Raw genomic sequence first — 26846 nt, forward strand, 5'->3', positions numbered from 1 at the left:
ATGGGACTGGCATGAGAAGCCATCAACCTTGGGGGACATTTCTAGGTGGAAGGAGAATGTATTTTCTAGTCTTTTAATTCCAGGGTGAGAAAATAACTCCTGTGTCCTTTCCATCACCCTGGACAAAGAAAAGTGTGTCCTGTCTCTGATGCCTTCACAGATACACATAAACCCTAGGGGCCATATGGAATGCACAGCATTTGTGGTCCCACGTCTTCTCTTTTTCTGTGGCTTGTATGTGAGGATGGATGGGGAAGTGGGGCTGGAGTACAAGAGGCGTGTTAGCAACTATTGCCAGGAGTCCACCTGGCCCAAGGGGTGCCTACTGAGTCGCCTCTCTAGTTCCTGCAGCAGAGGGGAAGGAGAGGGCGATGCCTGGCAGGCTGATTTCAGAAGACTGAGGAGGCCCCCACCTGCTGGCTAGAGGCTGAAATGGCTATGGAGAATCAAATTCAGAGGCAATCCAGCCTTCCCACTCTGCACTGTAAGTTGTTCAGGTACACAATAATCAGGCATCAGAGCAGGTTTTGGTAGCTGAAATCCCTGTCTGGTCTGGAACGGGCTGTAGATGCTTGGCAGGAATCAACTTTTCCCACTCTGAGCTGTCCCCCAGGGCAAATCTAGTCAAAATGAAGATTCAAGGAAGCTATTTTAGTCTAGGTTTGTGATTCAAGTAACGGAAACTGACTGATTTAAGCTGACTTAACTGACTTTCCAGAAAAGAAATTTATTAGTAGAATATAAGGGAGTACCTTAAATAATTGGGAGGTCGAGTGAGCTGTCTTGGAGGCTGTGTAGTCAGAAACAGTACCCAAATCAAGCCACACAACAGTTCTTGTGAACACACTCCAGCTGCCACCTGTGGGTACAGAAGCTGCTGCTTCCTTGGCTAATCTTACCAAATGCTGGATGCTGCTCTTACAACTGCTGCCCTGGCTGTCTCTGGAAATTGGGTGGAACTGCTGCTGCCACTCACCTGAATCAATTATGTGTGCTTCCTGGTTCATCTTTCCACCTTCCAATACATCTGATTGGTGTGCCTTGGTCATGTGACTGTGTCCTAGCTGCACAGGAGGCTGGAAGAAAATGCCTGTAGTTCCAGCTACTCTGGAGGCTGAGGTGGGAAGATTGCTGCTTCAGCCCAGGAAGCAGAGATTGCCGAGATCACTCCACTGCACTCCAACCCAGGCAACAGAGCAAGACCCTGTCTCAAAAAAAAAGAAAGAGAGAGAGAGAGAGAGAAAGAGGGAGAAGAAAGAAAGGAGGGAGGGAGAGAGAGAGGAAGGAAGGAAGGAAGGGAGGAAGGAAGGAAGGAAGGAAAGAAAATATATAGGGGAATGAAGTCAAATGTCAAACATCAGAAAAGCTCTTACATAGAAAATAATTTTGACTTAGTTTACCTCCAATGGGTAGAACTAAGATTATTGGGTAAGAGCATCAGAGGATATATGTTTTTTCTTAATATAAAGAAGATTTTTGTTGTTCTTAGAAAATAGCCAGGCAAGGTGGCTCACACCTGTAATCCCAGCACTTTGGGAGGCCAAGGCGAGTAAATCACCTGAGGTCAGGAGTTCCAGACAAGCATGGCCAACATGTTGAAACCTGTCTCTACTAAAAATACAAAAATTAGCCAGTGTGGTGGAGGGTGCCTGTAATCCCAGCTACTCGGGAGGCTGAGGCATGAGAATCGCTTGAACCTGGGAGGTGGAGGTTGCATTGTGCCTAGATCACGCCACTGCACTCCAGTCTGGGCGACACAGCTAGACTCCATCTCAAAAAAAAAAAGAAGAAGAAGAAGAAAATAAACAATGTTTCTATTATGGAAAAAAAGCATGCTCAGAAAAAAAACATAGAAAAACAATAACTTGCAGAACCACAATCCAAAGACAGTTACTGGTAACATTTTTGTGTGTTTCCTTTCAGTTTTTTTGTTTGTTTGTTTTTGTTTATTTTGGAGAGAGAGTCTTGCTCTGTTGTCCAGGCTGGAGTGAAGTGGCACGATCTTGGCTCACTGCAGCCTCCACCTCCTGGGATCACGCGATTCTCCTGCCTGAGCCTCCTGAGTAGCTGGGACTACAGGCGCCTGCCACTACGCCCGGCTAATTTTTTTTGTATTTTTAGTAGAGACGGGTTTCACCATGTTGATCACGCTGGTCTCGAACTCCTGATGTTAAGTGATCCACCCTCCTCAGCCTCCCAAAGTGCTGGGATTATAGGTTGAGTCACTGTGCCCGGAATTTTTTTTTTTTTTTTGAGACAGGGTCTCACTCTGACGCCAGGCTGGAGTGCAGCAGAGCAATCTCAGCTCACTGCAACCTCCACCTCCCAGGTTCAAGCGATCCTTGTGCCTCAGCCTACTGAGTAGCTGGTACTATAGGCACACGCCACCATGCCCGGCTCCTTTCAGTTTTTTTCCATGCTAATTTTTAGTTTTCAAAACAGTGTGATTTCACTCCATACGTATCATCATATCCTTTTCCACTTAATATCAGATTATAACATTTTTCCACTTTATTATTGTCCAAAAGACCACCATGATGGTTAAATAGTAGATAGGAGAGCTTTACTAAGTGATACCAGTTTGCAAACCAGGAAGAGATAGTCTCAGACATGGACTGAAGGTGCTCTCTATTCTCTTCAAAGAGGGAAAGGGCAGGTTGGGTTTTAAGCCTCACAGGGTCTGTACTACACAATAGTCATACATATTTAGCGGTTTTGGGGGAAAAACTATACATATTTATGAGGGGAGCCAAGTACATGTGCAATGGGCAAACATATATGTAACATAAATCCCATGTTCACTTTGGGGCAGGTTTCAGCATTAAAATGAGGTGGAATTTGGCTCTTTACATCAAAGGTGAACTGTAGAACACAAAGACGGTTTGTGTGGAGCCTCTATAAACTGGCTGAAACTGGTTTAAGGTCTGCAACTGCTTATCAAAATAGAATGTTTGTAGGCCAGTGGCTCATGCCTGTAATCCCAGCACTTTGGGAGGCCAAGGTGGGTGGATTGCTTGTGCTCAGGAGTTCGAGACAAGCCTGGGCAACATGGGGAGCTCCCATCTCAATTATAAAAAATAAAAAATGTTAAAAAAATAAAGAAAAGGGCTGGGCGCGGTGGCTCACACCTGTAATCCCAGCACTTTGGGAGGCTGAGGCGGGCAGATCACCTGAGGTCAGGAGTTTGAGACCAGCCTGACCAACATGGAGAAACCCCATCTCTACTAAAAATACAAAATTAGCTGGGCGTGGTGGCAAATGCCTGTAATCCCAGCTACTCAGGAGGCTGAGGCAGGAGAATCGCTTGAACCCTGGAGGCAGAAGTTGTGGTGAGCTGAGATCGCGCCATTGCACTCTAGCCCGGGCAACAGGAGCGAAACTCGGTCTCAAAAAACAAAAGAAAGAAAGAAAAGAATGTAAGGCCAGTCCTCTGTCCAATCAGAGTTGTAGTGGTCTGGCTTGTAAATTAGCTAGGCGAGGTCTGATCATTTGCCTGATACCTCCTGTTGTTGAGACAGTTTATCCAGAATGTGGTTTTTCCTATAGCCACAGGAATTTAGGGAGTTGCCATGCCAGCTGCGTTGAACCGTATAATTAACCTTTGTTTCCTTAACCTTAGGTTCTATCTTAGTGATAAAGGGGTGTGTGTTTTGGTTTCTCAGACCATATTACCAGCTCTTTTTAAATATCATTTTTAATGGCTGCATAATATTCCATCAGAAGGATACAGCATGATTTACCTAAACATTTCTCTGTTGTTGGACAATTAGGTTATCTCCAGTTTTTTGTTGGTTTAAATAATACTGAATGAGCATTTTTGTGTACAAAGCCTTTTATGTATTTAGGATTATTTCCTCAAGCAGACTATCCAAGGTAGAATTATGCGTTCTAAATAATAAATATAGAGATAGGTATTTATTAGATATATTAAATTTCATATATTCTTAATATAAAAATGAAGTGAAAAATAGAATAACTTAACAGTGCTCCTTGAATTTCTTTTAGGAGAGGAATTGTCTTTTTGTTTTTTTGAGACAGTCTTGCTCTGTCACCCAGGCTGGAGTGCAATGGCACGATCTTGGTTCACTGCAAACTCCACCTTCCAGGTTCAAGTGATTCTCCTGCTTCAGCCTCCTGAGTAGCTGGGATTACAGGCATGTGCCACCACGTCTGGCTAATTTTTTGTACTTTTTAGTAGAGACAGGGTTTCACTGTGTTAGCCAGGGTGGTTGCAATCTCCTGACCTCGTGATCCAAACTGTCTCTATTAGGAATGTTAACTTAAAAATCACAAATTTGGGCCAGGCACGATGGCTCATGCCTATAATCCCAGCACTTTGGGAGGTCGAGGCGGGTGGATCATGAGGCCAGGAGATTGAGACCATCCTGGCTAACACAGTGAAACCCTGTCTCTACTAAAAATACAAAAAATTAGCCGGGCATGGTGGCGGGCTGTAGTCCCAGCTGCTTGGGAGGCTGAGGCAGGAGAATGGTGTGAACTCAGGAGGCAGAGCTTGCAGTGAGCTGAGATCACACCACTGCACTCCAGCCTGGGTGACAGAGCAAGACTCCATCTCAAAAAAAAATCACAAATTTGGCCAGGCGTGGTGGCTCACGCCTGTAATCCCAACATTTTGGGAGGCTGAGGCAGACAGATCACTTGAGGTCAGGAGTTCCAGACCAGCCTGGCCAACATGGCAAAATCCCGTCTCTACTAAAAATACAAAAATTAGCACACGGCTGAATAGGAACAGTTCCAGTCTGCAGCTCCCAGGGTGATCAACGCAGAAGATGGGTGATTTCTGCATTTCCAACTGAGGTACCTGGTTCATCTCACTGGGACTGGTTGGACAGTGGGTGCAGCCTACGGAGGGCAAGCCAAAGCAGGGCAGGACATCACTTCACACAGGAAGCAGAAGGGGTTGGGGGATTTCCCTTTCCTAGCCAAAGGAAGCCGAGACAGACTGTACCTGGAAAAACAGGACACTCCTGCCTAAATACTGTGCTTTTCCAATGGTCTTAGTAAACGGCACACCAGGAGATTATATGCCACGCATGGCTTGGAGGGTTCCACGCCCACAGAGCCTTGCTCACTGCTAGCACAGCAGTCTGAGATTGACATGCGAGGCAGCAGCCTGGCAGCAGCCTGGCAGTGGGAGGGGCATCTGCCATTGCTGAGGCTTGAGTAGGTAAACAAAGCAGCCAGGGAAGCTTGAACTGGGCGGAGTCCACTGCAGCTCAGCAAAGCCTGCTGCCTCTGTTGACTCTACCTCTAGGGGCAGGGCATAGCTGAACAAAAGTAGGCAGAAACTTCTGCAGACTTAAAAGTCCCTATCTGACAGCTCTTAAGAGCAGTGGTTCTCCCAGCATGGCATTTGAGCTCTGGGAACAGACAGACTGCCTCCTCAAGTGGGTCCCTGACCCCTGTGTAGCCTAACTGGGAGCACCTCCCAGTAGGGGTCGACTGACACCTCATACAGGCGGGTGCTCCTCTGGGATGAAGCTTCCAGAGGAAGGATCAGGCAGCAATATTTGCTGTTCTGCAATATTTGCTGTTCTGCAGCCTCTGCTGGTGATACCCAGGCAAACAGGGTCTGGAGTGGACCTCCAGCAAACTCCAACAGACCTGCAGCTGAGGGACCTGACTGTTAGAAGGACAACTAACAAACAGAAAGGAATAGCATCAACATTAACAAAAATGATATCCACACCAAAACCCCATCCATAGGTCACCAACATCAAAGACCAAAGGTAGATAAAACCACAAAGATGGGGAGAAAACAGAGCAGAAAAGCTGAAAATTCTAAAAACCAGAGTGCCTCTTCTCTTCCAAAGGATTGCAGCTCCTCACCAGCAATGGAAAAAAGCTGGACGAAGAATGACTTTAGTTGACAGAAGTAGGCTTCAGAAGGTTGGTAATGACAAACTTCTCTGAGCTAAAGGAGGATGTTCGAACCCATCGCAAGGAAGACAAAAACCTTGAAAAAAGATTAGACAAATGGCTAACTAGAATAAACAGTGTAGAGAAGACCTTAAATGACCTGATGGAGCTGAAAACCATGGCATGAGAACTACGTGACACATGCACAAGCTTCAGTAGCTGATTCGATCAAGTGGAAGAAAGGGTATCAGTGATTGAAGATCAAATTAATGAAATAAAGTGAGAAGAGAAGTTTAGAGAAAAAAGAGTAAAAAGAAATGAACAAAGCCTCCAAGAAATATGGGACTATGTGAAAAGACCAAATCTACATTTGATTGGTGTACTTGAAAGTGATGGGGAGAATGAAGCCAAGTTGGAAAACACTCTTCAGGATATTATCCAGGAGAACTTCCCCAACCTTGCAAGGCAGGCCAACATTCAAATTCAGGAAATACAGAGAACACTACAAAGATACTCCTCGAGAAGAGCAACCCCAAGACACATAATTGTCAGATTCACCAAGGTTGAAATGAAGGAAAAAATGTTAAGGGCAGCCAGAGAGAAAGGTCAGGTTGCCCACAAAGGGAAGCCCATCAGACTAACAGTGGATTTCTCAGCAGAAACTCTACAAGCCAGAAGAGAGTGGGGGCCAATATTCAACATTCTTCAAGAAAAGAATTTTCAACCCAGAATTTCATATCCAGCCAAACTAAGCTTCATAAGTGAAAGAGAAATAAAATCCTTTACAGACAAGCAAATGCTGAGATTTTGTCACCACCAGGCCTGCCTTACAAGAGCTCCTGGAGGAAGCACTAAACATGGAAAGGAACAACCGGTATCAGCCACCGCAAAAACATGCCAAATTGTAAAGACCACTGTTGCTAGGAAGAGACTGCATCAACTAATGGGCAAAATAACCAGCTAACATCATAATGACAGGATCAAATTCACACATAACAATATTAACCTTAAATGTAAATGGGGTAAATGCCCAATTAAAAGACACAGACTGGCAGATTGGATAAAGAGTAAGACCCATCAGTGTGCTGTATTCAGGAGACCCATCTCACGTGCACAGACACACATAGGCTCAAAATAAAGGGATGGAGGAAGATCTGCCAAGCAAATGGAAAGCAAAAAAAAGCAGGGGTTGCAATCCTAGTCTCTGATAAAACAGACTTTAAACCAACGAAGATGAAAAGAGACAAGGCCATTACATAATGGTAAAGGGATCAATTCAACAAGAGGAACTAACTATCCTAAATATTTGTGCACCCAATACTGGAGCACCCAGATTCATAAAGCAAGTCCTTAGAGACCTAAAAAGAGACTTAGACTCCCACACAATAGTAATGGGAGATTTTAACACCCCACTGTCAACATTAAACAGATCAACGAGACAGAAGGTTAACAAGGATATCCAGGATTTGAACTCAGCTCTGCACCAAGCCAACCTAATAGACATCTACAGAACTCTCCACCACAAATCAACAGAATATACATTCTTCTCAGCACCACATTGCACTTATTCCAAAATTGACCACATAGTTGGAAGTAAAGCACTCCTCAGCAAATGTAAAAGACCACAACAAACTGTCTCTCAGACCACAGTGAAATCAAATTAGAACTCAGGATTAAGAAACTCAGTGAAAACCACACAACTACATGGAAACTGAACAACCTGCTCCTGAATGACTACTGGGTAAATAACGAAATGAAGGCAGAAATAAAGATGTTCTTTGAAACCAATGAGAACAAAGACACAACATACCAGAATCTCTGGGACACATTTAAAGCAGTGTGTAGACGGAAATTTATAGCACTAAATGCCCACAAGAGAAAGCAGGAAAGATCTAAAATCGACACCCTAACATCACAATTAAAAGAACTAGAGAAGCAAGAGCAAACAAATTCAAAAGCTAGCAGAAGGCAAGAAATAACTAAGAGCAAAACAGAACCGAAGGAGATAGAGACACGAAAAACCCTTCAAAAAATCAATGAATCCAGGAGCTGGTGTTTTGAAAAGATCAACAAAATTGATAGACCGCTAGCAAGACTAATAAAGAAGAAAAGAGAGAAGAATCAAATAGACGCAATAAAAAATGATAAAGGGGATATCACCACCAATCCCACAGATATACAAACTACCATCAGAGAATACTATAAACACCTCTAAGCAAATAAACTAGAAAATCTAGAAGAAATGGATAAATTCCTGGACACATACACCCTCCCAAGAATAAACCAGGAAGATGGTGAATCTCTGAATAGACCAATAACAGGCTCTGAAATTGAGGCAATAATCAATAGCCTACCAACCAAAAAAAGTCCAGGACCAGATGGATTCACAGCCGAATTCTACGAGAGGTACAAAGAGGAGCTGGTACCCTTCCTTCTGAAACTATTCCAATCAAGAGAAAAAGAGGGAATCCTCCCTAACTCATTTTATGATGCCATCATCATCCTGATACCAAAGCCTGGCAGAGACACAACAACAAAAAAGAGAATTTTAGACCAATATGCCTGATGAACATTGATGCGAAAATCCTCAATAAAATACTGACAAACCGAATCCAGCAGCACATCAAAAAGCTTATCCACCATGATCAAGTCGGATTCATCCCTGGGATGCAAGGCTGGTTCAACATACACAAATCAAGAAACGTAATCCATCACATAAACAGAACCAACGACAAAAACCACATGATTATCTCAATAGATACAGAAAAGACCTTCAACAAAATTCAACAACCCTTCATGCTAAAAATTCTCAATAAACTAGGTATTGATGGGACGTATCTCAAAATAATAAGAGCTATTTATGACAAACCCACAGCCAATATCATACTGAATGGGCAAAAACTGGAAGCATTCCCTGTGAAAACTGGCACAAGACAGGGATGCCCTCTCTCACCACTCCTATTCAACATAGTGTTGGAAGTTCTGGCCAGGGCAGTCAGGCAAGAGAAAGAAGTAAAGGGTATTCAATTAGGAAAAGAGGAAGTCAAATTGTCCCTGTTTGCAGATGACATGATTGTATATTTAGAAAACCCCATCATCTCAGCCCAAAATCTCCTTAAGCTGATAAGCAAGTTCAGCAAAGTCTCAAGATACAAAATTAATGTGCAAAAATCACAAGCATTCCTATACACCAATAACAGACAAACAGAGAGCCAAATCATGAGTGAACTCCCATTCACAATTGCTACAAAGAGAATAAAATACCTAGGAATACAACTTACAAGGGATGTGAAGGACCTCTTCAAGGAGAACTACAAACCACTGCTCTTTTTTTTTTTTTCTGAGACAATCTCGCTCTGTCATCAAGGCTGGAGTGCAGTGGTGCAATCTCAGCTCACTGCAACCTCTGCCTCCCGGGTTCAAGCGACTCTCCTGCCTCAGCCTCCCAAGTGGCTGGGATTACAGGCGCTCACCACCACGCCCAGCTAATTTTTTTATATATATATACTTTAAGTTCTAGGGTATGTATGCACAATGTGCAGGTTTGTTACATAGGTATACATGTGCCAAGTTGGTTTGCTGCACCCATTAACTCATCATTTACGTAAGGTATTTCTCCTAATGCTATCCCTCCCCCAGCCCCCCACCCCATGACAGGCCCTGGTGTGTGATGTTCCCTGCCCTGTGTCCAAGTGTTCTCATTGTTCAATTCCCACCTATGAGTGACAATATGTGGTGTTTGGTTTTCTGTCTGTGTGATGGTTTGCTCAGAATAATGGTTTCCAGCTTCATCCATGTGCCTGCAAAGGACATGAACTCATCATTTTTTATGGCTGCACAGTATTCCATGGTGTATATGTGCCACATTTTCTTAGTCCAGTCTATCATTGATGGACATTTGGGTTGGTTCCAAGTCTTTGCTATTGTGAATAGTGCTGCAATAAACATACGTGTGCATGTGTCTTTACAGTAGCATGATTTATAATTCTTTAGGTATATACCCAGTAATGGGATCACTGGGTCAAATGGTATTTCTAGTTCTAGATCCTTGAGGAATCGCCACACTGTCTTCCACAATTGTTGAACTAGTTTACACTCCCACCAACAGTGTAAAAGCGTTCCTGTTTCTCCACATCCTCTCCAGCATCTGTTGTTTCCTGACCTTTTAATGATCGTCATTCTAACTCGTGTGAGATGGTATCTCATTGTGGTTTTGATTTGCATTTCTCTGATGACCAGTGATGATGAGCATTTTTTCATGTGTCTGTTGGCTGCATAAATGTCTTCTTTTGAGAAGTGTCTATTCATATCCTTTGCCCACTTTTTGATGGGGTTGTTTTTTTCTTGTAAATTTGTTTAAGTTCCTCGTAGATTCTGGATATTAACCCTTTGTCAGATGGATAGATTGCAAAAATTTTCTCCCATTCTGTAGGTTGCCTGTTCACTCTGATGGTAGTTTCTTTTGCTGTGCAGAAGCTCTTTTGGCTTTTGTTGCCATTGCTTTTGGTGTTTTAGTCATGAAGTCCTTGCCGATGCCTATGTCCTGAATGGTATTGCCTAGGCTTTCTTCTAGGGTTTTCATGGTTTTAGGTCTAACATTTAAGTCTTTAATCCATCTTGAATTAATTTTTGTGTAAGGTATAAAGAAGAAATCCAGTTTCAGCTTTCTACATATTGCTAGCCAGTTTTCCCAGCACCATTTATTAAATAAGGAATCCTTTCCCCATTTCTTGTTTTTGTCAGATTTGTCAAAGATCTGATGGTTGTAGATGTGTGGTATTATTTATGAGGCCTGTGTTCTGTTGCATTGGTCTATATCTCTGTTTTGGTACCAGTACCATGCTGTTTTGGTTACTGTAGCCTTGTAGTACAGTTTGAAGTCAGGTAGTGTGATGCCTCCAGCTTTGTTCTTTTGGCTTAGGATTGTCTTGGAAATGTGGGCTTTTTTGGCTCCATATGAACTTTAAAGTAGTTTTTTCCAATTCTGTGAAGAAAGTCATTGGTAGCTTGATGGGGATGGCACTGAATCTATAAATTACCTTGGGCAGTATGGCCATTTTCACGATATTGATTCTTCCTATCCATGAGCATGGAATGTTCTTCCATTTGTTTGTGTCCTCCTTTATTTCATTGAGCAGTGGTTTGTAGTTCTCCTTGAAGAGGTCCTTCACATCCCTTGTAAGTTGTATTCCTAGGTATTTTATTCTCTTTGTAGCAATTGTGAATGGGAGTTCACTCATGATTTGGCTCTCTGTTTGTCTGTTATTGGTGTATAGGAATGCTTGTGATTTTTGCACATTAATTTTGTATCTTGAGACTTTGCTGAACTTGCTTATCAGCTTGAGGAGATTTTGGGCTGAGATGATGGGGTTTTCTAAATATACAATCATGTCATCTGCAAACAGGGACAATTTGACTTCCTCTTTTCCTAATTGAATACCCTTTACTTCTTTCTCTTGCCTGACTGCCCTGGCCAGAACTTCCAACACTATGTTGAATAGGAGTGGTGAGAGAGGGCATCCCTGTCTTGTGCCAGTTTTCACAGGGAATGCTTCCAGTTTTTGCCCATTCAGTATGATATTGGCTGTGGGTTTGTCATAAATAGCTCTTATTATTTTGAGATACGTCCCATCAATACCTAGTTTATTGAGAGTTTTTAGCATGAAGGGTTGTTGAATTTTGTTGCAGGTACTTGAAAGGAAGAGGGGCTGGGACAGGAGCTTTATGCTGAACAGGTTGGCTAAACATACATATTCTGGCTAATTTTTTTGTGTATTTTTAGTAGAGATGGGGTTTCACCATGTTAGCCAGGATGGTCTCGATCTCCTGACCTCGTGATCTGCCTGCCTAGGCCTCCCAAAGTGCTGGGATTACAGGCGTGAGCCGCCGTTCTTTTTTTTTTTTTTTTTTTTTAAGAGACAGGGTCTCACTATGTTGTCCAGGCTGGTCTCGAACTCCTGCGCTCAAGCAGTCTGCCCCCCTCGGCCTCTGAAAGTGTTGGAATTACAGGCGTGAGCCACCGTGCCTGGCAGAAAATATAGTTTATTCTTTAGGTGTAGGCGTGTGTGACTTAACCCTTACCTGACACGGCCTTAGGTCCTGATTATAATTTGGTATCTTATTGCCATAAAGAGTGCATTCTGTTAGTCTATGATCTCTATTTTAACATTGATGCTGGTCAGATGTTGTGTCTGAACTGCAAAAGGGAGGGAGTATAACCAGGCATGTCTGACCCCCTGACCTGTCATGGCTGGAAACTCAGTTTTTAAGGTTTTTCTGGGGTCTCCTTGGCCAAGAGGGTCCATTCAATTAGTTAGGGGGCTTAGGATTTGTTTTTAGTTTACAGGGGAAATAAGCCTATTAGGGGTAGACAGATCTGCAAAGCATGAGTGTTGGCAGGAACTTAAGCAACAAAGAGATACGGTTAAAATGTCGCTTTCTCTTTCTCCGTAGAAAGCCAGAGGAATTTGTGTTTTCTCCAGAGAGGGTGGGACAGAGGAGAGAATGGTGGGGCAGGAGGGAGAGTTAGTGATTTTGGAGGAGGCTAGAGGGTGCAGGGCCAGTTAGAAAACCTCAGCTGGGGGTGTGGAAAGGACTTCTAAAAACTTCTGAGGGGCCCCCTCCCCCTCCCCCGCTCCCTCTCCCCACGGTCTCCCTCTCTTTCCACGGTCTCCCTCTCATGCGGAGCCGAAGCTGGACTGTACTGCTGCCATCTCGGCTCACTGCAACCTCCCTGCCTGATTCTCCTGCCTCAGCCTGCCGAGTGCCTGCGATTGCAGGCACGCGTCGCCACGCCTGACTGGTTTTGGTGGAGACGGGGTTTCGCTGTGTTGGCCGGGCCGGTCTCCAGCCCCTAACCGCGAGTGATCCGCCAGCCTCGGCCTCCCGAGGTGCCGGGATTGCAGACGGAGTCTCGTTCACTCAGTGCTCAATGGTGCCCAGGCTGGAGTGCAGTGGCGTGATCTCGGCTCACTACAACCTACACCTCCCAGCCGCCTGCCTTGGCCTCCCAAAGTGCCGAGATTGCAGCCTCTGCCTGGCCGCCACCCCGTATGGGAAGTGAGGAGTGTCTCTGCCTGGCCGCCCATCGTCTGGGATGTGAGGAGCCCCTCTGCCTGGCTGCCCAGTCTGGAAAGTGAGGAGCGTCTCCGCCCGGCCGCCATCCCATCTAGGAAGTGAGGAGCGCCTCTTCCCGGCCGCCATCACATCTAGGAAGTGAGGAGCGTCTCTGCCCGGCCGCCCATCGTCTGAGATGTGGGGAGCGCCTCTGCCCCGCCGCCCCATCTGGGATATGAGGAGCGCCTCTGCCCGGCAGCGACCCCGTCTGGGAGGTGAAGAGCGTCTCTGCCCGGCCGCCCCGTCTGAGAAGTGAGGAGACCCTCTGCCTGGCAACCACCCCGTCTGAGAAGTGAGGAGCCCCTCCGCCCGGCAGCTGCCCCGTCTGAGAAGTGAGGAGCCTCTCCGCCCGGCAGCCACCCCATCTGGGAAGTGAGGAGCGTCTCCGCCCGGCAGCCACCCCGTCCGGGAGGGAGGTGGGGGGTCAGCCCCCCGCCCGGCCAGCCGCCCCGTCCGGGAGGGAGGTAGGGGGGTCAGCCCCCCACCCGGCCAGCCGCCCCGTCTGGGAGGTGAGGGGCGCCTCTGCCCGGCCGCCCCTACTGGGAAGTGAGGAGCCCCTCTGCCCGGCCACCACCCCGTCTGGGAGGTGTGCCCAACAGCTCATTGAGAACGGGCCAGGATGACAATGGCGACTTTGTGGAATAGAAAGGCGGGAAAGGTGGGGAAAAGATTGAGAAATCGGATGGTTGCCGTGTCTGTGTAGAAAGAAGTAGACATGGGAGACTTCTCATTTTGTTCTGCACTAAGAAAAATTCTTCTGCCTTGGGAAAAAAAAAAAAAAAAAACTTCTGAGGGGTGAGTTTAAACTGTTTGCCATGTATCATATGACCTCCCCCAGGGCCCAGAGTACCCTAATGTCTTTGTACTCGTCAATGTTTTGTGTGGGAAGGGTGCGGGCAGTCCTTAGGGAGAGCTGAGTTTCCTCTCCAGACTTCTGAACTGTGGTACGCAACAGCCTGGCAAAAGCAGAAACCCAGAGGCAGAGATATTTAGGAGAATATAAATCCCCAGATATTTGCAAATATGTTAAGGGAGGGACTCTGACTTTCACCGTCCATTTTTACCTCAATCTCAAAGGGCAAGGAGGTTGACATCTAAGTTACAAATATAATGCACAAGCATTTCAAAAAGTAGGGGAAAAAAAAGAAAAAGAAAAAGAGAAGCAGAAAGAAGGGGGAAAAAATCACTCATCCCTGCCAGGCACGGTGGCTCACGCCTGTAATTCCAGCACTTTGGGAGGCTAAGGTGGGAGGATAACTTGAGTCCAGGAGTTCAAGACCAGCCTGGGCAACATGGCAAAACCCTGTCTCTACTAAAATTACAATAATTAGCTGGGCGTGTGGCGCATGCCTGTAATCCCAGCTACTTGGGAGGTTGAGGCAGGATAATCGCTTGAACCCGGGAGGCGGAGGTTGCAGCGGGCTGAGATTGCGCAACTGCACTCCAGCAGGGGCGACAGAGTGAAACTGTGTCTCAAAAAAAAAAAAAAAAAAAAAAATCACTCATCCAGATAGCTAGGTGTGGCCTAAGGAGCTTGCGGCCTACGGAAGGTGTGGCCGAAGGAGAGGGGAGGGGTCATCTTTAATGATGATGGAGGGGAGGCATTGGTCATATACCTGAGAGTCAAGCTTTGTTCATCGTCAGATGAAAGCCAACTTCTTCCACCAGATTGCCTCCCAGCTGCTAGGTAGTTTCCTGTGGTACATCTTAAGCGGTAGGTTGGGATAATAGGTCCCTTCCAGGTCTTAAAGATGTGGATTAATAAGAACAGAATTTTCTACAACAATAAGGAGGATGTCCCCTATTTTAGGTGAATAAGCGTATTGCATAAGCACATGGGAAGAAAGGTTAAGAACTCTAAGACCGTAAATTTCCAGTTGTAGAAGCCTCTTGAAGGCGGAAAGCCCTTTTTTGAAAATTATAGGCGATATGATCTCCTCCAGTGGACCTAGCACTGGGTTAAGAGTCTCTCCAGACTTGTCACTGCAAGTCACGTACCTTTTCTAGGACTAAGTTTCTTCACTGGAAGATGAGGAGGTTGCACTAGATGACCTAGAAATTCCCTTCCAGCTTTAAATTCCCTCTTGTGTCACTTGCTGGACTTGTTCTACTGGACCTGGCGCTCCCCTGCTCCTCCCTTAGCTGCTACGTCCGCATCCCGCACCAGAGGGCGCCACAGGCTGGCCCGGGGCAGCGTGCGGTGGGCGGAGAGGCAGAATTAGGGGAGTCTCCAGGAGGCGTGGTGATTGGCCGCCGCCGGGCGGAAGGGGGCGTGGGGAGGGAAAGGCCGAGCAGCGCGGTGACGTCTCGCTGGCGGGGGCGGGGCCGGGCCGCGGAGCGTGTGACGCTGCGGCCGCCGCGGACCTGGGGATTAATGGGAAAAGTTTTGGCAGGAGCGGGAGAATTCTGCGGAGCCTGCGGGACGGCGGCGGTGGCGCCGTAGGCAGCCGGGACAGGTCAGTCCGAGACGAGAGAAGCGGTCAGGCAAGTGGCGGAGGGAAGCGCCGGGCCTGGGCCGAGGCGGCCAGCGGGACTGGGGCGCAAGGCCCGGCGGCGGGGAACGGGGTGCGGGGAGCTGCCGGGGTCCGCGGACAGCGTCACGGCGGCTTCCTGATGCTCCGGCCCGCTCCGGTCAGCCGTCGTGCGTTGCCATGTAGGCGCCCCGCTGACCCTGCGCCCCCCCGCCCTTGGACCCCCATAGCTGCTTGAGTGAGTCCGAAATACGGGCCTCCTTCCACCCTACTCTTTGCCCCCTCTTGGGCCTGGTGGCTTCGTCTTCTCCCACTTGTGAGAACCCCGTCTCAGGCCCGGGGGCCTCTCCCATTCCCCTCCCCTGCCTCTGACCTCTTCCTTCACCCGTTTCTGGTGTTCCTGAATCCACTGCCCTATCTAGCGAGAGTCTTCTCTGGGATCTTTTCCTCTGTCCCCCTCGTTATCCTTGTCTCCTGCCTTCATCCTCCCATCCTTGCTCTCTCAGGCTTTACTCTCTCTCCCCATCCCTGTCCCCTTCTTATCTGTGGTCTGATCCCTCCTAGTATTATGGGTCCCCATCCTCTTCCCCAGGGTGTTCCTAGGCTTTTTCCAACTCCGTGCCTGCAGTCCCTGTCTCCCTAAGACTCTCACCTTGGTTCCCTGAGAGGCCCTGTTTTTGCTCCTTTTTCCGATTTCCTTCGTATCAATTCTGTCCCCTACATTCCTGTCGCCCACCTCCTTTTCTCTCCCTGTTCCTTTCCCCTGCTTCAGGGAGAAGCCTTAGCTCCACACTCTACTCTACTTTCACTTGACCTGCAGTTGACATAACCATGGGGTGGGGGTGGAGGTGTTCAGACCTTGATCGAATTAAGAGGCTGATTGACTAAAGGAAATAACAGATTGTGTGGGAGAATGTACGTGGGTGTTGCATCAGAGATGATGTCCAATTTGTAGGCCATTCTTCTTATCTCAGCTTTAATACTTCCCCTTTATGGGGCTGTTGACTTCCAGGAACCCTTGGGGGAGACGGCGCTGAGCTGGATGTGTGCCACGGGTAGCCGGAGGCTTTGTCCAATTCTTTTCCCCTTCCAGGAACCGGGGTTTTGTGTCTTTCCACTCTGGATGTGTGGAATACACTTATACCATGATACCCCAGCCTCTCTCTGCCCTCACTCCCACCCTCCACCCTGTGCTCCATCCGAAAGGACTAAGAGAATTCTCCAGAAGCTGTGCTCCAGAAAATACTTGTGGTCCTCAACCTTTTTTCTGTGTACTGGCTCCAGAACTTTTTTTTTTCCCGTTTGAGTTTTGAAATAGATTGCTGGCCTGATAGCCCTGGGGCTGGCGGGCATCTGTCCCCTTTTATTATTGGTGGCTTGAAACAGCTGCTGATTTTCTCTCATATCTCTTTGACAATCTTTGGCCAACTGAATGTGCCTCTGATGTTGGTCACTGAACATGTTCTCTTGGAGTCTCTTCTCCCTCTTTTTTCTTTGTTCTTTTCTGAATCTAGGGAATCCAAATTGTCCCTCTTTTTCCCTGGGAGCTTAATTTCCTCTGTATCCAGGAGGAACGGCAATCCCAGAGCTCTGTTCCCTTTGCCCAGGCATAGTATGAGGTATCAGATTGATAACTACCCTGGTGGGCTGTGGGGCTGCAGTAGTTAGACCTTGTCAGGAACTTGAGCAGACACATCTGCTTCCAGTCACATAGATCATCTTCTCTGGGGCTTGAGAGCCCACCACCTTCCATGTGTGTCTGGATGTTTAACCTTACCAAGCAGAAGATTCTCGTCATATCCTTCAGTTTGAGCTCCTTTATTTGGCGTTGGTTCTCTAAAGAAGTATTCAAGAAATAACATATCCTTTGTTTCTACCCAGTCTGATCTTGGAGGATTCTGAAAGCGTGACCCACTCTCATGTTTAGAAATGAAGGCTCATTGTTTCACCTGGCCCCAGGTTTCTAGGGGCTCCTCTTTTGATGATTGTGCTGTCTTTGAGCCAGATTGGACATGGGAGTTGGCAACCTTTAGGAGCTGCGGTGGAGAGCCAAAGGAACCAGCTTGACCAGACTTTAAAGTTTTGTAATCCTCTTGTACACTGTTTTCTGTGAAAGCAATAGGATTGTGGATGGCCTGTTGTTGAGCCAGTCCCTTCTCCACTGACCCCCAGACCCCCTTTGCAGCACTTGCAAAGATTTGGGTAGACTGGACCAGAGGGTTTTCCTTGTTCCTGTGAATAGCATCTCTCCAGGGTTTTAGTGGATCATTCTAAAGAGGTAGAGGTCAAGTGTTGGACAGATTTTTAGTCTAGTCTCTGGCTTTCAAGGACTCCTCCTTACTCTTTTGAGCAGTTTGTTACTTCTGGCCGTGCTTACCCCTTAGTAGTGCTCTCTGCTGTGGTGGCAGGTGAGAGATTTGAGAACAGGTCAAGGCCAGTCCTTGTGGAGCAGCTTGGGCACCAGCAGCCCTAGATGGATAGCTTCTTGCAGTTTGTCCACTCTCATTTTCTGAGAAGGTAGTCATGATTGTCAATTACCAAATTCCTTCCCCATTCAGTGATTTTTGCAGAGTCTGGGTCTGGATTTTCTTTCCTTCTTTCTTTTCTGACACAAGGTTTTGTTCTATTGCCCAGGCTGGAGTGCAGTGGTGCTATCATAGTGCACTGTAACCTCGAACTCCTGGGCTCAAGGGATCTTCCTGCTTCAGCCTCCAGAGTAGCGGGGACTACAGGTGCACACCACCACACTCAGCTAATTAAAAAACAATTTTTTTGTAAAGACAGGCTCTCACAATGTCTCGAACTCCTGGCCTCAAGCAGTCCTCCTCACCTTGGCCTCTCAGAGCACTGAGATTACACTGACTGCTCGTTCAGGTGCCTTTCTCCTTGCCTCTTCACCATGGCCTTCTTGTGTGATATATGCCTTAACCCATTCAGGAAGAATTGCTCCTACTCAGCCTTTCAACCCGACCTGTGGTCCCTTAGACGCCTTCCCTTAGGGCCTGGTAAGAGGATAGACAGTGTAGAGCACTAGCCTGGGAAGCCATTAGGCCTCTGCTTTGGGCCTACAGCTGTCCTGACTGTTGTGCAAGCTGTCTTCAGGGCCTGCAGATTCTGGCACATCCTGGGATAGTGCAGCTCCTCTCTCTCAGGAGTTGGACCTGTCACTTTTTTTTCGTTTTTTTTTTTTTTTTTTTTGAGATGGAGTCTCGCTCTGTCGCCCAGGCTGGAGTGCAGTGGTGCGATCTTGGCTCACTGCAAGCTCCATCTCCCAGGTTCACGCCATTCTTCTGCCTCAGCCTCCTGAGTAGCTGGGACTACAGGCGCCCGCCACCACGCCTGGCTCATTTTTTTTTGTAGTTTTAGTAGAGACAGGGTTTCACCGTGTTAGTCGAGATGGTCTCGATTTCCTGACCTCGTGATCTGCCCGCCTCAGCCTCCCAAAGTGCTGGGATTACAGGCGTGAGCCACCACAACCAGCCTGGACCTGTCACTTCTAAGGGCTTCAGCTATATCCTGTCCCTGAGGCCCACCTCCCTGAGTGCTCTCTGCAGGCTGGGAAGCTGAACAGTGGTGCCTTGCTCCAGTGCCTCTGAAGGGCTTGGAAATTGCAGGACACAGCTTTACTGCTCAGCATTGCCCACACTGGAAACATTCTCTTCCTCCCTACCCAGGTCTCTGTGGGCTTTGTCCGTTCTGCCAGGCCCTTGCTTATATGATGTCAGAAGCCCTGTGCCCGGTGCCATTGTCAATGCCATGTCCCAGATTACCTAATGGCTGCTTCTTGGAGATGGTTTGGTGTCCATGCACATTTTTCTCTGCCGTTGGAGCCAGGGTGAGGAGCTGCTTGCAACAGCTGGATTCCAGGGTGTCAGAGGAGCCCTTGGAGCTTGCCTTGAGCCTGGCAGGGAGAACATGGCCCCTTGCATCAGGTTTCAGACATATGGGTCTTCTTCCTTGGCAGATGGCTCCTAGCCTTCATAACTCAGCAGGCTGGTGATTGGCATGTGACTCCAGTTCATTCTGCAGGGGCTTTGGTGAAGGCATCAACTATGACTCAGGACATCTTCATTTATGAGCTTCTACCCAGCTCCCTTCTTACCTTGCCTGCGCCTTCTGCGCCGACCTGATAAAATCAGCAAAGCCAGTGTCTGCTTACTTGGGAGTGAGCAGACTCCTTCCAGGATTGGGGAAATATTTGCTGACTCAGGCTCAGAATCACATCTCAGGGTGGTGTGTAAGGGACCGACGAGGAGCCAGATTACCTTAGGAACACTCTTTGAGTTACGGTGGGTATAACTTATTAGAGTTGCTTTGAGGGCCCCTGGCACCTGTCAGCTAAAGCTGTTGGGGTTTTTTCTATCCTGCAGTGTTGTACAGTGTTTTGGGCATGCACGTGATACTCACACAGTGGCTTCTGCTCACCAACAGATGAAGACAGATGCACCAACGAGGTAATCCCATTTTCTTTACTCAGGGGTCTCTGACCACCACTGACACAGGATCCAGATTTAAGATCCTGACCTTGAAGATGAAATAATTTCACTAGGGCTTATTCCCAGATTCCAGGTTCCTGTCACAGCATCTGGTACCAGTTGCTTATGCATAGTATAGGCATTTATTAAGTAATTATTGAAAGTCTATGGCTTACATAGTTTTTTCAGGAGCATGGAGATTCCCACCTTTGCGCCCATTAAAAGATAAACTCCACAGGGCAGGGAGTTGTTTTGCTGCCTGTTGTGTCTAGGATAGTGCCTGGCACAGAGGAGATAATGAATAAATTTTTGTTGAATGAGTAAATGAACGAACTTTCGTCTTTGCCTATATGGGTACCTAGGGTGCCAGGCCACAAAGATGGTGTCCATCATTCTCTCTTATTAGGGGGCAAATATATATATATATATATATTTTGTTTGTTTGTTTGTTTTTGAGACGAAGTCTTGCTCTTGTCCCCCAGACTGGAGTGCAATGGCGTGATCTTGGCTCACTGCCACCTCCTTCTCCTGGGTTCAAGTGCTTCTCCTGTCTCAGCCTCCCAAGTAGCTGGGATTATAGGCACCTGCCACCACGCCCGGCTAATTTTTGTATTTTTAGTAGAGATGGGGTTTCACCATGTTGGCCAGGCTGGTCTGGAACTCCTGACCTCAGGTGATCCGCCCGCCTCAGCCTCCCAAAGTGCTGGGATTACAGGCGTGAGCCACCGCACCTGGCCTTTTTTTTTTTTTTTTGAGATGGAGTTTCGCTCTTGTTGTCCAGGCTGGAGTGCAATGCCGTGATCTCGGCTCACTGCAACCTCCGCCTCTTAGGTTCAAGCGATTCTCCTACCTCAGCCTCCTGAGTAGCTGAGATTACAGGCATGCGCCACCACATCTGGCTAAATTTTGTATTTTTAGTAGAGACGGGGTTTCACCATGTTAGCCAGACTGGTCTCAAACTCCTGATGTCAGATGATCTACCCGCCTCAGCCTCCCAGAGTGCTGGGATTACAGATGTGAGCCACTGTGCCCAGCCGGGAACAAATATTTTTAAGTGCCAACTATGTGCCAGGCACTTGGGAAATGATAATAGTAAAAAACAGATCCAATCTCTGCCTCATGGGTCTGTGGTTTGCTGGTATATATGAGAGCTGGCCATAACACACAGAATTGTTTCTTCCATCTCTGCAGGGGTAGGAGGTTCTCACCAAGAGTCTGAACAATGCTCTGGGTTCCCATTGCTGTTTCCATGTTCTCAGGATGCCTGGCAGGTTTTATAAACTCTCAGAAGTGGAGCTCCAGGGAATACAATGTTCATTGTCCTATTTGGAAGGCTGGGTTGTTGTGGGTCCCTGCTGGGGGCCGGGGAAACGTGGGCCTCCTGCCTGATTTGTTTTAATCTCTGAAGTTCAGTGGTTCCAGTAGCTGTTTGTGGGCTTCACTTCCCCTTCTCTGCCTTTAACACCCTGCAGGTTTTCCTGTTGTCAGACAGGGTGGTGAGTCCCTGTGTCTCTCTGTCTGTGGGGGTCAGGTTGTTTGTAGATCTTTCAGGAAGGTCCTGGGTGGGGGGCCCTCCTGCTTTCAAACCCATACCAAGTGCTTTCCTCTGAAGGGAATGTGAGGGAGGAAGAAGGGGGGAGTTTCAGAGACTTCTGAGGTTCCCCAAGAGGGAAGAGGTCAAAGTACCTCCTGAGCGGGGAGAGCTACTGAGTTGAACTGATTTGCTTTGCCATTTGCTTTAGCAGCAGCCAGGCCCAGTGGCAGCAATTGTACGTGCATTTCCAGGGGTCAGTTGTCCAGTTCATCCCTGAGCCTTGAGCTCCCAGTCGCAGGTAGGAACTTCTCTTCTCCTTTCTTTTTTTTTTTTTTTTTGAGACGGAGTCTCGCTCTGTCACCCAGGCTGGAGTGCAGTGGCGCGATCTAGGCTCACTGCAAGCTCTGCCTCCTGGGTTCACACCATTCTCCTGCCTAAGCCTCCTGAGTAGCTGGGACTACAGGCGCCCGCCACCACGCCCGGCTAATTTTTTGTATTTTTAGTAGAGACGGGGTTTCACCGTGTTAGCCAAGATGGTCTCGATCTCCTGACCTCGTGATCCACCGGCCTCGGCCTCCCAAAGTGCTGGGATTACAGGCGTGAGCCACCGCGCCCGGCCTCTTCTTTCTTTCTTGATTGGGTACTGCTATATCACCTAGGACCAGGGGTGTGTCCAATCTTTTGGCATCCCTGGGCCACATTGGAAGAAGAATTATTATCTTGGGCTATACATAAAATACACTAACACTAACAATAGTGATGAGCTAAAAATAAAAATGGCAAAAGAATCTCATGTTTTAATAAAGTTTACGTATTTGCGTTGGGATGCATTCAGAGCTCTCCTGGGCTGCATGCAGTCATGGGCCATGGGTTGGATAAGCTTGGCCTCCCTAGGCAGTCCTCTCACCACAGCCTCCCAAGTAGCTGGGACTACAGGTGCACACCACTGTGCCTGGCTAAGTTTTTTTTTTGTTTGTTTTTGTTTTTTTTTAATTTAATGGGTACATAGTAGTAGGTGTATATTTCTTTTTTTCTTTTCTTTTTTGTTTTTTTGAGATGGAATCTTGCTCTTGTCACCCAGGCTGGAGAGCAATGGCACAATCTTGGCTCCCTGTAACCTCCACCTCCTGGGTTCAAGCGATTCTCCTGCCTCAGCCTCCCAAGTAGCTCAGATTACAGGCGCCCGCCACCACGCCCAGCTAATTTTTGTATTTTTAGTAGAGATGGGGTTTTGTCATGTTGGCCAGGCTGGTCTCGAACTCCTGACCTCAAGTGATCTGCCTGCCTCAGCCTCCCAAAATGTTGGGATTACAGGCATGAGCTACCACACCCGGCCTTGTATGTCTTCTTTTGAGAAATGTCTATTAAAATCTTTTGCCCATCCTTTTATTAGATTATTCGTTTTTTTCCTATAGAGTTGTTTGAGCTCGTTATATATTCTTGTTATTAACCCCTTGTGAAATGGGTAGTTTGCAAATATTTTCTCTCATTCTGTGGGTTGTCTCTTCACTTTGTTGATTGTTTCCTTTGCTGTGCAGAAACTGTTTAATGTGATGTGATCCCATTTGACCATTTTTGCTTTGGTTGCCTGTGCTTGCGGGGTATTGCTCAAGAAATTTTTGCCCAGACCAGTGTCCTGGAGATTTTCTCCTGTTTTCTTGTAGTACTTTCATGGTTTGAAGTCTCAGATTTAAGTCTTTATTTTGATTTGGTTTTTGTGGATGGCAAGAGGTAGGGGTCTAGTTTCATTCATCTCCATATGAATATCCAGTTTTCCAAGCACCATTTATTGAAGAGACTGTCTTTTCCTCAGTGTATGTTCTTGGCACCTTTGTCAAAAGTGAGTTCACTGTAGATGTGTGGATTTGTTTCTGGGTTCTCTATTCTGTTCCATTGGTCTATGTGTCTTTTTTTTTTTTTTTTTTTTTTCTCTGAGACAGAGTTTTGCTCTGTTGCCCAGGATGGAGTGCAGTGGCGTGGCGTGATGTTGGCTCACTGCAGCCTCTGCCTCCCGTGTTCGAGCAGTTCTCCTGCCTCAGTCTCCCAAGTAGCTGGGATTACAGGCATGTGTCACCATGCCTGGCTAATTTTTTGTGTTTTTAGTAGAGATGGGGTTTCACCATGTTGGTCAGGCTGGTCTTGAACTCCTGACCTCAGGTGATCTGCCCACCTCGGTCTCCCAAAGTGCTGGGATTACAGGCATGAGCCACCGCGCCTGGGCGAAAGATGGCTTATTTTGAAGTCAACTTTAGAATATTATAAAACAGCATTCTCAAACTTTTTGGCCTCAAGATCCCTTTAGATTCTTTTTTTGTTTGTTTGTTTGTTTTTGTTTTTTGAGACGGAGTCTCTCTCTGTCACCCAGGCTGGAGTGCAGTGGCACAATCTCGGCTTACTGCAAGCCCCGCCTCCCGGGTTCATGCCATTCTCCTGCCTCAGCCTCCCGAGTAGCTGGGACTACAGGTGCCCGCCACCACGCCCAGCTAATTTTTTGTGTTTTTAGTAGAGACGGGGTTTCACCATGTTAGCCAGGATGGTCTCAATCTCCTGACCTCGTGATTCACCCGCGTCGGCCTCCCAAAGTGCTGGGATTACAGATGTGAGCCACTGCGCCAGTCCCTTTAGATTCTTAAAAATTATTGAAGACCCCAAGGGCTTATGTTTACCATGTTAGAAGTTATAATAGGCCGGGCGGGTGACATTCGTTAATATCACCACTGATCTCATTTTTAAAAAGTCTTTAAGTATTGGGAAGCTGTCGGGCTCACAGTGGTCAATACACGTTTTCTAAATTTGAGTTTTCTCTTGAAAGTTTGATTTTTATCATTGGTAACATACTGTTGGTTCTTTTGTTTGATTTTGTCTGAGATAGCATCTCCCTCAGTCACCCAGGCTGGAGTGCAGTGGTGCAGTCATAGCTCACTTGCAGCCTCCAACTTCTGGGCTCAAGTAATCCTCCTGCCTCAGCGTCCAGAGTAGCTAGGACTACAGGTATGTGCTACCATGCCCAGCTCATTTTAAAATTTTTTGTAAAGATGGTGTCTTGTGATCTTGCTACATCGACCAGGCTGGTCTTGAATTCCTGGCCTCAAGTGATCCATCTGCCTCAGCCTCCCAAATTACTGGGATTATAGGCATGAGCCACCACACCCAGCCTTTTTTTTTTTTTTTTTTTTTTTTGATATGGGGTCTCACTCTTGCCCAGGCTTGAGTGCGGTGGCACAGTCTTGGCTCACTGTATCTAGCCTTGACTTCCAGGCTCAAGTGATCCTTTCATCTCAGCCTCCCAAGTAGCTAAGACTACATGCATGCACCATCATGCCCACCTCATTTTTTAACTTGTTGTAGAGATCAGGTCTCCCTGTGTTGTCCAGGCTGGTCTCAAACTCCTGAGCTCGAGCCATTCATTCCTGCCTTGGCCTCCCAAAGTGCTGGGATTAAAGGCATGAGCCACTGTGCCCAGCCAGTTCTTTTTTGTTTTGTTTTGTTTTGTTTTGAGATGAAGTCTCACTCTGTCACCCAGGCTAGAGTGCAGTGGTGTGATCTCGGCTCACTGCAACCTCCGCCTCGTGGGTTCAAGTGATTCTTCTGCCTCAGCCTCCCAAGTAGCTGGGACCACAGGCGCGCACCCCAATGCCCGGCTAATTTTTGTATTTTTTTAGTAGAGATGGGGTTTCACCATATTGGTCAGGCCGGTCTCGAACTCCTGACCTCATGATCTGCCCACCTCAGCCTCCCAGAGTGCTGGGATTACAGGCGTGAGCCACCGCGCCCGGCCACAAAGAATATTTAAAAGACAGATATCAAAGGTGGAGATTTTAATAAAGTTAGTTTTTATTTATTCATCTAGGACATTCTTAAATTGGCATTTTATTGTCTTTCATGGTTCTGTGGATTAACTGGGCCCAGCTGGGTGGTTCTTGCTTGGGATATGTCATGTTGCTATAGTCAAATGAAGACGGGGCAGGTGTCATCTGAAGGCTCAGCTGGGCTGGGTGTCCACGCTGGCTTAGGCACATGGGTGGCACTTGATGCTGTTGAATGGAGTGCGTATACATGACCTCTCTATGTGCCTTGGGCTTCTCATAGCATGAGAGCTGGGTTCTGAGCAGAAGCATTCCCAAAATGAATGTATTGAGAGATTCAGAAAGAAATGTCAATGTTTCTCATGTCCTAGCCTTGGAAGTTACACAGTGCCACTTCCTCTATTCCCTTGGTCTCAGGACCAGTTCAGATTCAAGGAGAGGACTACACAAGGGTGTGAATACTAAGAGGCGTGATTCACTGAGGAGAGAAACAGGCCTCCTTGGAGACCAGCTACTACTTTTCAGCATCCTTATGTGAGGTAATGTGGTCTTGATACTTCCAAGAGAAAAGCACATCTTCTCATGATTTTCATTCCTGGAAGCTACTGTTAGTTAGGAAATTCCTAATAGGTTGATGGAGGACATTGAATGCTAGGTGAAGGAATTTGTACTCTGTTCTTTGGGCAATGGGGGAGCCATCAGTGGTTTTGGAGCAAGGAGTGGTGGTGTTAATATTGCAAAAAGGTAGATTAGGAATGGAGATAGAGAGGATAGGTAGGGGACTGCAGTGGTCTAAATGTAAGGAAATTCTTCTTCACATTAAATCTGAGTTCCTCTGGTTGCAATTTAAGTGTATTGATTTTGATATTTCAGCCACACAGATTAAGCACCCAGAGCCAGGGTGGAATAACCCATCCCTACCCCATATCCATTTAGGGCTGTTGATGCACAGGAGAGATTAAGAGTTCACAAACTTTAGAAGGCAACTAAATTTAGGTTTTATTGTCAAAGCACATAAAAAGTTAAGCATAAATTATTCAAAAATAAAAAGCAAGAAAGGTGAAACTTCATTTAACACCACTAACCATGTTTCAAATACGCTTCAGTTTCAGTATTATAGAAGCAAGGAGTGGAGCCAGAGGAAGGAATGGGGAGGACAAATTAGAGAATGGTAGGAAGAGGGACAAAAGTAGGGGAAGAAAGGAGTCAGGAGGGGCACACAGCAGAAAGAATTTGAAGGAGGTCAGATTGGAGCAACTACTTGAAGCTGAGAGAAGGCTCCGTATGGGGCTAACATGTTAGCAAAGAGCTGGTGCCTTCTGTGTTTCCCTGAGGCACTGGCTTCTGGGTTTTAGCATCTGGTATCCTCACCCTTTCTTTAATACAGACAGTCCCCAACTTATGATGGTTCAACTTTACAGTGATGTAAAAGCCATACACGGCTGGGCGCATGGCTCACGCCTGTAATCTCAGCACTTTGGGAGGCCGAGGTGGGAGGATCACGAGGTCAGGAGATTGAGACCATCCTGGCTAACACAGTGAAACCCTGTCTCTACTAAAAATA

At 47.0% G+C, this 26846-nt stretch overlaps 1 protein-coding gene across 30 annotated transcripts in view, besides 5 other annotated features; it reads left to right on the top strand.

Moving 5' to 3' along the window:
- Positions 470–529: a silencer, noted in NCBI's record as "silent region_17088". NCBI's record gives its function as "represses an Ori minimal core promoter by ATAC-STARR-seq in GM12878 lymphoblastoid cells {active_cell/tissue: GM12878}" and the evidence as "EXISTENCE:reporter gene assay evidence [ECO:0000049][PMID:35858748]".
- Positions 15181–15390: a silencer, noted in NCBI's record as "silent region_17089". NCBI's record gives its function as "represses an Ori minimal core promoter by ATAC-STARR-seq in GM12878 lymphoblastoid cells {active_cell/tissue: GM12878}" and the evidence as "EXISTENCE:reporter gene assay evidence [ECO:0000049][PMID:35858748]".
- PPARD (peroxisome proliferator activated receptor delta) overlaps positions 15329–26846 on the top strand; it is an 85621-nt gene continuing 74103 nt past the window's right edge. For 8 of the 30 annotated variants that reach the window (XM_017010973.2, NM_001171818.2, XM_047418933.1 and 5 more), the window contains exons 1-2: positions 15329–15452; positions 19838–19921. Coding sequence is in view for 1 of the 30 variants with exons in the window: in NM_001171819.2 (NP_001165290.1) it covers positions 19909–19921 (13 nt within the window). In the remaining 29 variants the exon portion in view is untranslated. Of the gene's footprint in view, positions 15481–19837; positions 19922–21133; positions 21775–24348; positions 24468–25653; positions 25822–26846 lie in introns of all 30 variants that reach the window. The other 22 variants (XM_047418923.1, XM_047418920.1, XM_047418921.1 and 19 more) reach the window with 14 other exon arrangements.
- Positions 15571–15710: a silencer, noted in NCBI's record as "silent region_17090". NCBI's record gives its function as "represses an Ori minimal core promoter by ATAC-STARR-seq in GM12878 lymphoblastoid cells {active_cell/tissue: GM12878}" and the evidence as "EXISTENCE:reporter gene assay evidence [ECO:0000049][PMID:35858748]".
- Positions 15741–15790: a silencer, noted in NCBI's record as "silent region_17091". NCBI's record gives its function as "represses an Ori minimal core promoter by ATAC-STARR-seq in GM12878 lymphoblastoid cells {active_cell/tissue: GM12878}" and the evidence as "EXISTENCE:reporter gene assay evidence [ECO:0000049][PMID:35858748]".
- Positions 21445–21694: an enhancer, noted in NCBI's record as "active region_24399". NCBI's record gives its function as "activates an Ori minimal core promoter by ATAC-STARR-seq in GM12878 lymphoblastoid cells {active_cell/tissue: GM12878}" and the evidence as "EXISTENCE:reporter gene assay evidence [ECO:0000049][PMID:35858748]".

The sequence above is a fragment of the Homo sapiens genome, chromosome 6, assembly GCF_000001405.40.
Source record: "Homo sapiens chromosome 6, GRCh38.p14 Primary Assembly".
NCBI lineage: Eukaryota > Metazoa > Chordata > Mammalia > Primates > Hominidae > Homo > Homo sapiens.